The 16,055-nt window shown below is 49.7% G+C and overlaps 1 protein-coding gene across 13 annotated transcripts in view, besides 1 other annotated feature; it reads right to left on the bottom strand.

Annotated features, from left to right (window-relative positions):
- The window catches only part of PTPRN2 (protein tyrosine phosphatase receptor type N2), a 1,048,768-nt gene that overhangs the window by 914,797 nt on the left and 117,916 nt on the right, over positions 1-16,055 (bottom strand). The window lies entirely within an intron of this gene.
- Positions 15,369-15,533: a silencer, noted in NCBI's record as "fragment chr7:158261913-158262077 (GRCh37/hg19 assembly coordinates)". NCBI's record gives its function as "represses an EF-1alpha promoter that drives an FKBP-Casp9 reporter gene in an ReSE screen in K562 erythroleukemia cells {active_cell/tissue: K562}" and the evidence as "EXISTENCE:reporter gene assay evidence [ECO:0000049][PMID:32094911]".

Genomic DNA, 16,055 nt, shown 5'->3' on the forward strand with positions numbered 1-16,055 from the left:
CACATTCTAGGTGGGGACAGACAAGACACAATGCACACAATCACCGATGTCAGGATTGGGGACGGTTGCTATGGAGGACAGACAAGACACACACAATCACCGATGTCAGGACTGGGGACGGTTGCTATGGAGGACAGACAAGACACAACGCACACAATCACCGATGTCAGGATTGGGGATGGTTGCTATGGAGGACAGACAAGACACAACGCACACAATCACCGATGTCAGGATTGGGGATGGTTGCTATGGAGGACAGACAAGACACAACGCACACAATCACCGATGTCAGGATTGGGGATGGTTGCTATGGAGGACAGACAAGACACAACGCACACAATCACTGATGTGAGGATTGGGGATGGTTGCTACAGAGGACAGACAAGACACAACGCACACAATCACTGATGTGAGGATTGGGGACAGTTGTTATGGAGGACAGACAAGACACAACACACACAATCACTGATGTGAGGATTGGGGACGGTTGCTACAGAGGACAGACAAGACACAACACACACAATCACTGATGTGAGGATTGGGGACAGTTGTTATGGAGGACAGACAAGACACAACACACACAATCACTGATGTGAGGATTGGGGACGGTTGCTACAGAGGACAGACAAGATACAACACACACAATCACTGATGTGAGGATTGGGGACAGTTGTTATGGAGGACAGACAAGACACAACACACACAATCACTGATGTGAGGATTGGGGACGGTTGCTACAGAGGACAGACAAGACACAACGCACACAATCACCAATGTCAGGATTGGGGATGGTTGCTATGGAGGACAGACAAGACACAACACACACAATCACTGATGTCAGGATTGGGGATGGTTGCTATAGACAAAGAAGAGATGAAGAGGGTGCAGGCTTGGGGGCAGGTTCAGTGACAGCAGAGTGGAGTGTGGATCATTGCAATGACGAGAGAGCCTCTTTTGGCCACTCTGTTGACCTCGAACATCCCCCCAAGCAGACTACACACTGTCAATGTGTTCAAAAACAGAGATGACGGCTGTTGCATGGAACAGACATACACAGCCTCAGCGACCCCCCGGGGGCCCCTCGAAATGTGTTTGTCAGGCTGCCTCCACGCAGCCCACAGGCATGGAGCAAACACACGCTCCACTTGCTTCATGATGCCAAGCACAGAACCCACTTCAGGAAAACCCAAGAAATGGCCCCCATGGACCCCCAATCCCACTACTTCCCACCCTAAAAACAAAATGAACAGAAACACCACACCTCCAGGCAGCCAGCACAGTAAGCTTTTCACTTAAGTTTTTATTATAGAAATGTTCAAACATACACGAAAGCAGAGAAGATAACGGCACGGACGCCATCGGCCACGGCCACCCATCGCTCTGCAGAGAAGACAACGGCACGGACGCCATCGGCCACGGCCACCCATCGCTCTGCAGAGAAGACAACGGCACGGACGCCATCGGCCACGGCCACCCATCGCTCTGCAGAGAAGACAACGGCACGGACGCCATCGGCCACGGCCACCCATCGCTCTGCAGAGAAGACAACGGCACGGACGCCATCGGCCACGGCCACCCATCGCTCTGCAGAGAAGACAACGGCACGGACGCCATCGGCCACGGCCACCCATCGCTCTGCAGAGAAGACAACGGCACGGACGCCATCGGCCACGGCCACCCATCGCTCTGCAGAGAAGACAACGGCACGGACGCCATCGGCCACGGCCACCCATCGCTCTGCAGAGAAGACAACGGCACGGACGCCATCGGCCACGGCCACCCATCGCTCTGCAGAGAAGACAACGGCACGGACGCCATCGGCCACGGCCACCCATCGCTCTGCAGAGAAGACAACGGCATGGACGCCATCGGCCATGGCCACCCATCGCTCTGCAGAGAAGACAACGGCATGGACGCCATCGGCCATGGCCACCCATTACTCTGCAGAGAACATAACGGCACAGATGCCATCGGCCACGGCCACCCATTGCTCTGCAGAGAACATAACAGCACGGATGCCATCGGCCATGGCCACCCATTGCTCTGCAGAGAACATAACAGCATGGACGCCATTGGCCATGGCCACCCATCGCTCTACAAAGAAGATAACGGCATGGACGCCATCGGCCACGGCCACCCATTGCTCTGCAGAGAACATAACAGCATGGACGCCATCAGCCACAGCCCCCCATCGCTCTGCAGAGAAGACAACGACATGGACGCCATCGGCCACGGCCCCCCATCAATCTGCGGAGAAGACAACAGCCACCCATCACTCTTCAGAGAAGATAACGGCATGGACGCCATCAGCCACAGCCCCCCATCACTCTGCAGAGAACATAATGGCACGGACGCCATTGGCAATGGCCCCCCATCGCTCTGCAGAGAACGTAACGGCACGGATGCCATCGGCCACGGCCCCCCATTGCTCCACAGAGAAGATAATGGCACGGATGCCATCAGCCACAGCCACCCATCGCTCTGCAGAGAAGATAACAGCATGGACGCCATTGGCCACAGCCACCCATTGCTCTGCAGAGAACATAACAGCACGGACGCCATCGGCCACGGCCCCCCATCGCTCTGCAGAGAACATAATGGCACGGACGCCATCGGCAATGGCCCCCCATTGCTCTGCAGAGAACATAACGGCACGGATGCCATCGGCCATGGCCCCCCATCGCTCTGCGGAGAACATAACGGCACGGATGCCATCGGCCACGGCCCCCCATTGCTCCGCAGAGAAGATAACGGCACGGACGCCATCGGCCATGGCCACCCATCACTCTGCAGTGGCTCATGTTTCACTCCATCCGTCTCCCCTGCCACCCCTCCCTGTTTTCCAGGGTTGAGGGTGGAGTCAGTTAGAGAAAATCTACTACACCATATTCTGTGTATCTCTAGCAAATGAGGACTTATCTCATTTTATTTTATTTAGGGGAGACGGGGTCTTACTCTGTTGCCCAGGCTGGACGGCGGTGACACAATCACGACTCACTGCAGCCTCCACCTCCTGGGCTCAATGATTCCCCCGCCTCCATCTCCCACAGCACCAGGATCACCACAACTCACCCACATGAGGGCTTTAAAAAATGTCATCACAAACCCAGTATCACACCAGCAACATTAGTTAACAGCAACTGGTCTTTAATAATGTTCTAGTATCCGGTCAGTGCTAAATTCCATTAATTAAAAAAAAAGTCATCTTGTAGTTAATTTGTTTGAATTAATATCCAAGGAGGGTCCATCATACGTCTACACAGCAATGGCGCACGCAGGGTGGATTCAGTGTTTGTGGTTTGCTATGAATCTGATGAGCCACCAAGAATCCAGGCTGAGTCTTCTGACCCCTTTCCTGATGCTTATTTCCTGAAAGCGTCCTTATCTGTTTGCACAGTATCCACGCTCTGCATTCCTCCTAACTCCAATGAACATCCCCAGAATCCCCAATGAGAAGAAACCGTGTCCCTCCCAGGGCTCCTCAGCATCTCGGGTGCAATGTCTCTGGACACTTCCAGCGGGCAGGTGTCTACCCTGGCCTTGATAAGCAGACACCACTAGCCCTGAAAGCAAAGGTGCTACCTCGGCCTGCGGGACCACAGCGGATGCGCGGCCCCAGTCAGCACACGGTGAGGGGCGTTACCACCAAACCTCCCTCTCCAGGGCGAGCCTGGCCTGGGGGGAGTCACAGTAAAGCCACCGTCAAAACTCCTTCCAAGTTCATTAGCAAAGGTGCTACCTCGGCCTGCGGGACCACAGCGGATGCGCGGCCCCAGTCAGCACACGGTGAGGGGCGTTAACACCAAAACTCCCGCTCCAGGGCGAGCCTGGCCTGGGGGGAGTCACAGTAAAGCCACCGTCAAAACTCCTTCCAAGTTCATTAGCAAAGGTGCTACCTCGGCCTGCGGGAACACAGCGGATGCGCGGCCCCAGTCAGCGCACGGTGAGGGGCGTTAACACCAGACCTCCCCCTCCAGGGCGAGCCTGGCCTGGGGAGAGTCGCAGTAAAGCCACCGTCAAAACTCCTTCCAAGTTCATTATTTACACCCTGAGTGTTCTCAGCAGGGCCAAAACTTCACACCTCTGACTGAATTTTCATCCATTTGGAAGGGTTCCGGGTCTCCTGGGAGTTTTAGAAATTGGGAGTGAGAAGACGTGGTTGAAAACTGAGGTGAAAGCTCTAAGAGAAAGTTAATTTGGTGTCTCCTGGGCACTTCACAGCTCTGCAGTGCCCAGGGTTCCATTATGCGTCCCTCAGTGTGAAACACAGCAAACCTTATTAAATACCCTTCTAGCAAAATCCCCCATCCTCCGAGCTTGGCCTGTGCTCCGCTTCCTCCTTTCCTGCCCCAGACGCCACAGCAAACGTTATTTCCCCGACATCTGGTGGTTTTCAAAGGACAATGCTCAGACCAGTGCACCAGGAAGTGGGCCGGGCGAGTGATCTGCAGTCCATCGGGATGTCCAGGAGATGCTGACACAGGCTGAGAAGCTCGGCCCCCAGCTCCCAAAGCTTACCACGGCCACCTGGGGGAAAAGCTGCCATGTCTTAGAAATATTGACACTGGCCTCATTCCCTGAATTCTGATTTGTCAAGAGGTGTGGCCTGACCACCCGGATCTTTTAAAGCTCCCCCGGTTTTTAAAAGCTCTAATAGTCAGCAAAATGCAAAACCACGCCCCCACCCAACAGCCCCATGATGTCCCACGAAGTCGACCGCCGGAGCCCTGACACCAGCATCACCCTCTCGTGCGGTCTCCCAACAGCCCTGCAGAGCCAGAACCATGATCGTCCCCACTGCACACCTCGGAGAGCTGAAAGTTGCACAGTTATTTACTGAGTAGATTTGGGATTCAAATCCAAATCCTACTGTGAAGCCGGTACCCCCATAACACCAGGCTGGGCGGGCTCCACGCTGCCTAAGAGCAGAGACTCTGCCTCATTTCCCCTTCTAGTCCCAGCAACAAGCACAGAGTGAGACCTCAGCACACTAACCGTGGACACACCTTTGATCCCAGGGCCCCCTGAGGACTGCGTGATCTTCAGAGGTGCACCCTCCACGCAGCACAGGCCAGACAAGGGAAACTGCAGGGAGCACTGGCAAAGGACACATGTGGGGAAGACACGAGAGGCAGGAGACGGCAACATCTGTGGGGGCACAGGAGAGAGAGGACAGGGTGCCGCGGCCATCACAGGGTGACACCGGAGCCTTGGTGTGGCTGCCCTGGGCTGGACTTGCTGCACACACAGGGCCACGAGGACTTTGGGACCACACGTGCTGATGTCTCCACTGTCCAGAGGAAGACACCAAGGCTTGAGGCTGTGGCTCCAAGTGCACACAGTTGCACAAGCACACATGCATGCTGCACCACAACACCCAGATGAGAATCCAGAGCCCCCACTGCCTGGGATGAATGGGCTCCAGAATCCAGAGCCCCCACTGCCTGGGATGAATGGGCTCCAGAATCCAGAGCACCCGCCTGGGACGAACAGGCTCCAGAATCCAGAGGCCCCGCTTGGGACGAACGGGCTCCAGAATCCAGAGCCCTCGCCTGGGACGAACGGGATCCAGAATCCAGAGCCCCTGCCTGGGACGAACGGGCTCCAGGGGCCCGCAAAAGGACGTCGGCTCTGCACCACCCCTACCTATTACTCTATACTGAGCCGCAAACCCATGCACGCCTCAGTCCAAATGTCATAGCTTCTCTTTCTCCCACTACCCTGAGGGCCACACACACATGACTCGGAGAAAGGCCACAGCCTGTGTGTCACAGGATCTCCCTAAATGTCCAGTGGCCCCTGTCCAGCCGCTGTGGCTGCCCACATCATGGTGCTGGGCCCTGCCGTTTCTCCATCATAGAACCACCAAGAGGCAACCGAGAAACCCAGGAGCATGGCAACATCCACAGTCTCCAGGATGGGGCCCTATCTACATGCTCCTCCTAGAGGGGCTGTGTACCGTGAGCACAGGAGGGTCATCCAGCTACAGGATGGGACTCTATCTACAAGTTCCTGCTAGAGGGTCTGTGTGCCGAGAGCACAGGAGGGTCATCCAGCTACAGGATGGGACTCTATCTACAAGTTCCTGCTACAGTGCCTGTGTGCCGTCAGCACAGGAGGGTCATCCAGCTGCAGGATGGGACTCTATCTACATGCTCCTCCTAGAGGGGCTGTGTGCCGTGAGCACAGGAGGGTCATCCAGCTGCAGGATGGGACTCTATCTACAAGTTCCTGCTACAGTGCCTGTGTGCCGTCAGCACAGGAGGGTCATCCAGCTGCAGGATGGGACTCTATCTACATGCTCCTCCTAGAGGGGCTGTGTGCCGTGAGCACAGGAGGGTCATCCAGCTGCAGGATGGGACTCTATCTACAAGTTCCTGCTACAGTGCCTGTGTGCCGTCAGCACAGGAGGGTCATCCAGCTGCAGAATGGGACTCTATCTACAAGTTCCTGCTACAGGGTCTGTGTGCCAAGAGCACAGGAGGGTCATTCAACTGTAGGATCGGACTCTATCTACATGTTCCTGCTACAGGGGCTGTGTGCCATGAGCACAGGAGGGTCATCCAGCTACAGGATGGGACTCTATCTACAAGTTCCTGCTAGAGGGTCTGTGTGCCAAGACCACAGGAGGGTCATCCAGCTGCAGAATGGGACTCTATCTACATGCTCCTCCTACGGGGGCTGTGTGCCGAGACCACAGGAGGGTCATCCAGCTCCAGGATGGGACTCTATCTACATGTTCCTGCTACGGGGGCTGTGTGCCGTCAGCACAGGAGGGTCATCCAGCTGTCCGGAAATGAAAACTCACAGTCACCAAGCATACGCAGTGCCATCTGATGAGAATTCATCTGCTCTGTCCTGCACGGTCCCATGGGAAAGTCAAGCCATGGCCCCAGCTCCCTTCCTCAACCATCGTTCATGATCGAGCTTATTCTGATGTTGATGCAAGAAATGTTCCACCCACCTTTGGCTGGCAAAGCCTGCCTAGAAATATACAAGAACAGATAGTAGTTCCAGTAAAGCACAGAGTACCTCAAAATAGAAGACATTACAGAGAGAAACGTGTGCACGCTGGCAGCTAGCTGAAAAGTCAGCTGATCCACATAAAGTTGGTTAGGAAAAATCTTCTAGAGATGCAGACCATCATTGCACAAACTACAACATCCTCAAACCCAAGACACACTGCAGAGAAATAACAGCTCTTCCTTTCTACTATGGAGGATTCTGCCCGACAGTCATGTGGCTTCACTTAAGATCAGAAGTGACCTGGTCAAGAAGCATAGAAGAAACCTCAAATTTCCAAATTCCCAGTCTTTCATTTTTTTCTTGGTTCTATGAACAATAAAATCTTACAGCATAAAGGCCGGGCGCGGTGGCTCATGCCTGTAATCCCAGCACTTTGGGAGGCCGAAGGGGGTGGATCACGAGGTCAAGAGATCAAGACCATCCTGGCTAACACAGTGAAACCCCGTCTCTACTAAAAATACAAAAAAATTAACCGGGCGTGGTGGCAGGCGCCTGTAGTCCCAGCTACTCGGGAGGCTGAGGCAGGAGAATGGCATAAACCCGGGAGGCAGAGCTTGCAGTGAGCTGAGATGGTGCCACTGCACTCCAGCCTGGGCAACAGAGCGAGACTCCGTCTCAAAAAAAAAAAAAAATCTTACAGCATAAAAACTGAAGCATACAGAAAATGGTGAAAAAAAATATCATTCTAGGTGCATTTTCTTCCAGTGTTTTCCAAAGCATAATTACGTACTTTTTCCAAAGCACTCAAATTCATTCTGTAGCCTCGGGGCTGTCTCCTGCCACTCCCACTGGGTACTACACGCGAGCATTTCCCGGAACCATGGAAAGAGCCTCTTGGCCACCTGCTGTAGAGGCTGACTGCACTGTTCCCTGCTATGCTTGGTCATATGGGTTGTTTTAAAGTTTTTCAACATTATAAATAAAGCTGTAACAAACGTGCTTTCAATTATTTTTCACCCACATTTTAAAAACACGTCTTTAGTGTGGGTTCCTACAGTCTGAGTTACTGAGCCTAAAGACACTGGCATATTTGTGACTTCCAAGGAAACAACCCATACTCACCCCATGGCAGAGAATCCCTGCCTTGCTGCAGGAGCCGGCGCTTGGGTGAACGCCTCCCGTCCTTGGATAGAACCGCCTGGGTGCTTCGGTTCGTACTTCTCCTTCCATGCTTTCAGACCCCCTGTGCTTCCGCCCACGCCCTGTGCTGCTCTGCTTTCTAGGTCCACACACCAGGGCCCCTCTCTGGGACCATCTTGCCCCAGGCTTTGATCCCAACACTCGCCCTATATCTCCAAATAAAAATAAATTGTTGGGTTCTTTCTGGAGGAGTTTGGGTGAGCTTGTTTATCCCAGGATGTCACTTCTCAAAGGCAGTGCAGATCCTCATACAGCGGGCTGATGCTCCTGACCACCTCCCTCCCAGCAGGCCCATAAAGACCCTCAGACGCCATGCACCGGAGGCCCCTGTGGCTTCTACTATCTGGCATTTGTCTGGTGTGCTGGCATCATCTATACCACACCCGGCCTCTGTCACACCTTCTGCTCTCACATGATGCGATACCGTACTTGCATTTGACAGAAAACACACAGAGTCCTAGAGATGATATGTGAAAATTAAGGGGTGCCTGGTCCTGTCTCGGCCATGAAAATGGTGGTAGAGAAAGAGGGAACACCTGCCTGTTAGCTTTCCTGAGGATGACAAGTCATTTACTGCCTTAAAACTAAGACAAAAAGGAGTGGTTCCTCAATGAATTCCTCTCCCCTCCTTCCACCCTGAGACGTGTCATATAGCTGCCTCAGGCCCTGTGTTTCTCACGTAAAACCTGTGCTGATGACAGGTTCATTTTCAAACACAGGAAGGATGTCCAGCTCACAGTCCGCAAAACTACAAGCTAAGCTGCCTACGATTGTGTGGGGATCCAGGAAAACAGAGGATGAGTTGAAGGTTGGGACACAGACCCCTTCAGGCAAATCCACACACAGCTCAGTTTTATTGAAGAAAATCAATAACATAAATTATTTCAAATAGCAGTGCAACAACTTGGGGGTTACATTTATTTTATTCAGCACGAATAACTGGTTCTATTCCCTTGTGCTCATTTTAGCAGTGATGATTTGAACTCAGATCATTAGTTTCATGTTTCCCCAGCCTGGCTGCACATTACAGTCAACTGTACTAAAACCATAAACCCCAAAGCCCCAGATGGGAGATGCCGACTTGGTCAGTCTGGTATAGGATCTGGATCTGTGTACTTTTATAAGCTTCCTACATGGTTCTAGTCATTTGGGCAACACCAGGTAGACCAAGCCCCTCAATATGCAAGTACAGAACTGGAGGGCCAAAAGGGCAGGTGAGCCCATCATCCCCTAACTCCATCTTTTCTCATTTCTGTCCCCCACCCCAAATCATCACCATTGTCACCATCATCATCATTACTATCATCACCATCACCATCAGCATCATTACTATCATCACCATCACCATCAGCATCTCATCATCATTATCATTACCATCACGACCATCATTGTTGTCATCATCACCATCACCATCATTGTCATCACCATCATGTTGTCATTATCATTACCACCATCATCACCATCATCATTACCATTACCATCACCACCATCATCACCATCATTGTCATCACCATATCATCATCATTGTTATCACCATCCTCATTGTCATCATCATTGTTGTCAATATCACCGTCACCATCATCATTGTTATCACCATCATTGTTATCATCAACACCATCATCATCATCACCATCATCGTCATCACCATATCATCACTATCTTCACCATCATCATCACCATCATCATCCTTACCATCGCCATCATTGCCATGCCATTTAGTAAACAATCACTTCATCATCACCGTCATCATCCTTACCATCGCCATCATTGCCATGCCATTTAATAAATAATCCTTCATCATCACCATCATCATCCTTACCATCACCATCATTGCCATGCCATTTAGTAAGTAATCACTTCATCATCACCGTCATCATCCTTACCATCGCCATCATTGCCATGCCATTTAGTAAGTAATCACTTCATCATCACCGTCATCATCCTTACCATCGCCATCATTGCCATGCCATTTAGTAAATAATCCTTCATCATCACCATCATCATCCTTACCATCGCCATCATTGCCATGCCATTTAGTAAATAATCCTTCATCACCACCGTCATCATCCTTACCATCGCCATCATTGCCATGCCATTTAGTAAATAATCCTTCATCACCACCGTCATCATCCTTACCATCACCATCATTGCCATGCCATTTAGTAAATAATCCTTCATCATCACCATCATCATCCTTACCATCGCCATCATTGCCATGCCATTTAGTAAATAATCCTTCATCATCACCATCATCATCCTTACCATCGCCATCATTGCCATGCCATTTAGTAAATAATCCTTCATCACCACCGTCATCATCCTTACCATCGCCATCATTGCCATGCCATTTAGTAAATAATCCTTCATCATCACCATCATCATCCTTACCATCGCCATCATTGCCATGCCATTTAGTAAATAATCCTTCATCACCACCGTCATCATCCTTACCATCGCCATCATTGCCATGCCATTTAATAAATAATCCTTCATCATCACCATCATCATCCTTACCATCGCCATCATTGCCATGCCATTTAGTAAGTAATCACTTCATCATCACCGTCATCATCCATACCGTCACCATCATTGCCATGCCATTTAGTAAACAATCACTTCATCGTCACCATCATCATCCTTACCATCACCATCATTGCCATGCCATTTAGTAAATAATCCTTCATCACCACCGTCATCATCCTTACCATCGCCATCATTGCCATGCCATTTAGTAAATAATCCTTCATCATCACCATCATCATCCTTACCATCGCCATCATTGGCATGCCATTTAGTAAACAATCACTTCATCATCACCATCATCATCCTTACCATCGCTATCATTGCCATGCCAATGAGTAAATATCACCAGTGCCAGATTCTGTGCTACACCCTTATGCTCATTATCATTGACCTTCAGATCAATGTATTATCCCCATTTTAGAGATAAGGGAGTTGAAGTTCAGAAAGGCTAAGTAATTTTCTTAGGATAACACAGCTAGTTACAGAGGCTATGGTGTTCTTATCGCAGACTGGAGCTAAGCTGCTGAGATACAAGTCCAGATTCCAGCACCAATCAGCTGTGTGGCTGTGGACATTTCCTAAAGCATGCTGGGCCTCCTCTCCTGGGCCTTGTATGTGGAGATACTAAGAGTGCCCATCTTGCAGAGTTTGTGCGAAGTGACACTCTGGTGGCTCTCCAGCCTTCAAATCCAGTCCTATCAAGATCCATCATGATTACTCCCCCAGAGACTGTCTTGATTCTCCCACTGGATGTCTCTTCTTTCCCACCCCGTGACCCCTTTGAATTCTTAAAATGCTTTCTTGGTTCTTCATTCATACCACACCCCTTACTCCCTTACTGTATCTCCTGTACACATCATTTATTTACCACTTTATCCCTGCAGTAGACAGAAGCTCATGAGGGCATTTTTTCATTATGATAACTGTTTTCACTAACATTCCTGAGCATCTAATCTATGCCATCTAATCTTTAGTAGATACTGTACTAAATATTTTATTTGCAGTATCACATTAAATCTTACTACAAAGAAGGCATTATTGCTATGCTTACTTTAGAGACAAGCAAACTGAGGCTTAGAAAGAGTCAGTACTTGGAAGCACTGAAAGGCTCAGCTCTCACAGTCCAAGTACCAGCTGTTTAACCACTGCACAGTTTATATCCTTCCCAAGACACTGCCCTGAATGCATTGATCCAGGGGCCTCCAGTGGATGCTTGGGAAAAGCCAGCTACCTGCCACATGTGTGCTGGACTTGGGCTGGGCAAAAACAAACCTGGTCTCTGATCACGTAAGCCTAGAACCCAGAAAGCCAGCAGTTATGGGTGCAGTCATGTGGGCTAAGCTACTTTGCCTGGGGACCCGCAGTCACACGTGCTGAGCAGCTTTACATACTTTCAGGCCTTGAACCCAGATCCCTGCCTCACGCCTCACACACCCCACTTCCTGTTGCATGATGCATCCATGCAGTAATAAAATGGACATCCTTAAAGCAGATAACAAAATCCAACTCATCATTTTGTAAAATTTTTGGATGTACATTTGAGGCGTGCAACATGATGTTGGATACATACATGCATACTGAGGTGGCCACTGTGGTCAAGAGTTAACACCTCTGCCTCCACCCTCTCCTAGAGGCACCCTCTGGGCAAATTACCAGTAAACAATCCAATGTTGTTACTACATACAGTCCTCACGCTGTGCATTAGGCCCCTGGGCTCACTCCTCCCACAAAACTGCAGCTTCCTACCCTCTCATCCACATCTTCTCATTCCTCGCCACTCCCACCCCCCAAACCATAACCAGCTTTCCACTCTCTGTTTCTATGTAGTCAACTTTTTTTTTTAAGATTCTACATATGTGTGAGATCATGCAGTATCTGCCTTTCTGTGCCTGGCTTATTTCACTTACTTCACACTATTTACAACATCATGTCCTCCAGGTTCATCCATGTTTTGAAAATGACAGGATCTCCTTTTTTAAGGCTGAATAGTATCCATTGTGTATGTATACCACAATTGCTCTATCCATTCATCCATCAGAAACACCTGTACTGTCTCCATGCCCTGGTGAATAGTGCTGCAATGAGCATCAGGGTGCAGACACCTCTTCTGCCCATTTAATTTCTTCTGGATCTATAACCAAAAGAGGCGTTGATGGTAGCACTGTTTTTAATTTCTTGAGGAACCTACACACTGTTTCCATAAACAGTGTGCAAGTTGGCCAGGTGCAGTGGCTCACGCCTGTAATCCCAGAATTTTGGGAGGCTGAGGCGGGTGGATCACTTGAGGTCAGGAGCTCAAGACCAGCCTGGCCAACACGGTGAAACCCCATCTCTACTAAAAATATAAAAATTAGCTAGGCATGGTGGCACATGTCTGTAATCCCAGCTACTCGGGAGGCTGAGGCAGGAGAATCACTTGAACCCAGGAGGCAGAGGTTGCAGTGAGCTGAGATCGTGCCACTGTAGGACAGAGCGAGACTGTCTCAAACAAAGCATCCAAGTGTCCCTTTTCTCTACACACTTGCCAACACTTGTTATCTTCTGTCTTTTTGATAAAAGCCATTCTCACAGGTGTGAGAGGGTAAGTCACTGGGGCTCTGATGTGCGTTTCCAATGATTAGTGATGCTCAGCACCTTTCCCATACCTGTCAGCCATCTGTATGTCCTCTTTGGAAAAATGTTCTATTCAGGTTCTTTGCCCTTTTTAAAATTGGAGGGTTTGGGGGTTTTTTGGCTTTTGGGTTTTTTTTGTGTGTTGTTTGTTTGTTTGTTTTGCTATTGAGTTGAGTGAGTTCCTTATATATTTTAGATATTAACACCTTATAGATCTATGGTTTTTCAACATTTTCTCCCGCCCTGTAGGCTGCCTTTTCATTTTGATGGTTTCCTTTACCGCACGGCAGCTTTTCAGTTTGATATAGTCCCACTCATTTATTTTGCTTTTGTTGCCTGTGTTTTTGGGTCTTGTCCAAAACTTCTTGCCGAGACCAATGTCAAGGAGCTCTTCCTGTATGTTTTCAGAGTTTTACAGTTTCAGATCTTGTGTTTGGGTCTTTAACCAATTTTGGGCAGATTTTTGAGAACGGTGTAAGGTAAGGTCCCATTTCATTCTTTTGAGTGTGGATGTCCAGTTTCCCCGAAACCATTTAAAGAGACGGCTCTTACCCCAGAGTCTGCTTCACACCTAGTTGACCATATATGGTCAGGTTTATTTCTGGGCTCTTTGTTCTGTTCCCATCTCATCCTTTTACATGGCGTGTGTTTAAGTCACTGGCCAAAACTTGGGTAATTCTGCTGCCAAAGACCTGGGAGCCCCCGGGGAAGGCCCTGTTGATGTTTCTGTTGCTGTTGCGTTTGTTACACTGTGGCAAGCTGTTCAAATTCTTGCTTTCACCGCCACCCATTTACCCTGTGCTACTTTACAGTAGCTAGTCTAGGATGCAACTGGAATTGTGGGGCTCAAGTGAAACAATGTGCATAAAATCTCCCGTAAATTATAACTCACACTGCATGTATAAGCAAAAATTGTGGCATTTTTACAGTCTTCCTACATCTTCAGCTAATAGCCTTAATAACAAAACACAGAATATTGTCACTCAATTAGACTAGGGTTATTTACCTAAGACAATTTTGCATTGCAATTTGCAAATTCTTAAATGGCAAATTAGTCATTTGCATTGATTTGCATGTCCACAGAGAAATATCTTTCATGCTAATTATGTTTTTGCTAACAAACCATAGAAGTAATAATGAGGAAACTGAATTCCCTCACCGCACCTTTGGCTTTGTTACACAAAGCACAGCTGGCGTTTCAGGGTGGGAGGGTTTCATCAGGATCGTCTTGCCCAGAGATCCTCAACTCTGATAGCACATTACAGTCACCTCGGGAAGCTTCAGAGAAAAAGAAAGGACGGCAAAGCCTGGGTCCCGCCCCCACCCCGCCCCTCGCCGCCCTCAGCTGACATTCTGATTCACTGGCGCCAGTTTATGTCTGGGCATCACTATTTTTCAAAGCTTCCAGGTGTTTCCAGGTGTTACCACCGGCATGGCTGACCCCCTTGTTTTGCACGTAAGAAATCCAACGTGCACAGAGCTGTGGCTTGAATAGAGAGGGGTGCGCAGGGTGGTGGCAGGGCAAGACAAGCCCAAGCTTCCTGACTGATGCCCAGTCCCCTATGCTTGTCCCACAAAGATCGAGACTCTATTGTGCATACAGGCATGCACACCCCCCACCCACACACACTCCCGGTGGAGCAACAGCGTGCACACCCACGCACACTCCCGATCAACAATGTGCACACCCACACACTCCCAATCGATCAAGAGTATGCACACCCACACACACTCCTGGTCAATCAACAGTGTGCACACCCAGGCACACTCCTGGTGGATCAACAGTAGGCACACCCACACACACTCCGGGTGGATCAACACTATGCACACCCATGCACACTCCCGGTGGATCAACACTATGCACACCCACACACACTCCGGGTGGATCAACACTATGCACACCCACACACACTCCTGGTGGATCAACACTATGCACACCCATGCACACTCCTGGTGGATCAACAGTGTCAGGCTTTCAGACTGAGGAAAGGAAAACACTGTTTTTGGCTGTGCACAGTGGCTCACACCTGTAACCCCAGCACTTAGGGAGGCCAAGGCAGGTGGATCATTTGAGGTCAGGAGTTTGAGACCAGCCTGGCCAACATGGTGAAATCCTGTCTCTACTAAAATACAAAAATGAGCCAGTGGTGGTGGCAGGCACTTGTAATCCCAGCTACTCAGGAAGCTGAGGGAGCAGAATCGTTTGAACCCCAGGAGGGGGAGGTTGCAGTGAGCCAAGATAGCACCACTGCACTCCAGCCTGGGCAACAGAGGGAGACCATCTCCCCTGTCTCAACAACAACAACAACAACACTAGTCCACAATGAACACACCAAAAAAATGTGTAAAGTGTGGGTCTAGTTCTTTTGCATCTTTTTAAAGAAAGAAGAAGCAAAATCCCAATTGTTGAGTCATCTTCCCCTGTGGTCAGCAGCTTGCCCAGCTCCACCGAGCACTCGCTCGAGAGCGTTTCTGTTCCTTGAAAACAAATGAGAACGACAACAGCAAGATGCTCCTCAATCATTAAAAACACCAAAGAGCATCTGTTCGTGCCCCAGCAAGTGAGAGAGAAAACCTGGCCAAAAAAAAAAAAAAAAAAATGCAAAGAATTGGGAGCTGGGATTTGTTCTAGTGCCATCATAAAAGAATTGGGAGCTGGGATCTGTCCTATTGCATCACAATGGGCTGTCGCCATAACAGGAGCTGGGATTTGTCCTAGTGCATCATAAAAGAATTGGGAGCTGGGATTTGTC

This window comes from Homo sapiens, chromosome 7 (genome assembly GCF_000001405.40).
Source record: "Homo sapiens chromosome 7, GRCh38.p14 Primary Assembly".
NCBI classification, from domain to species: domain Eukaryota; kingdom Metazoa; phylum Chordata; class Mammalia; order Primates; family Hominidae; genus Homo; species Homo sapiens.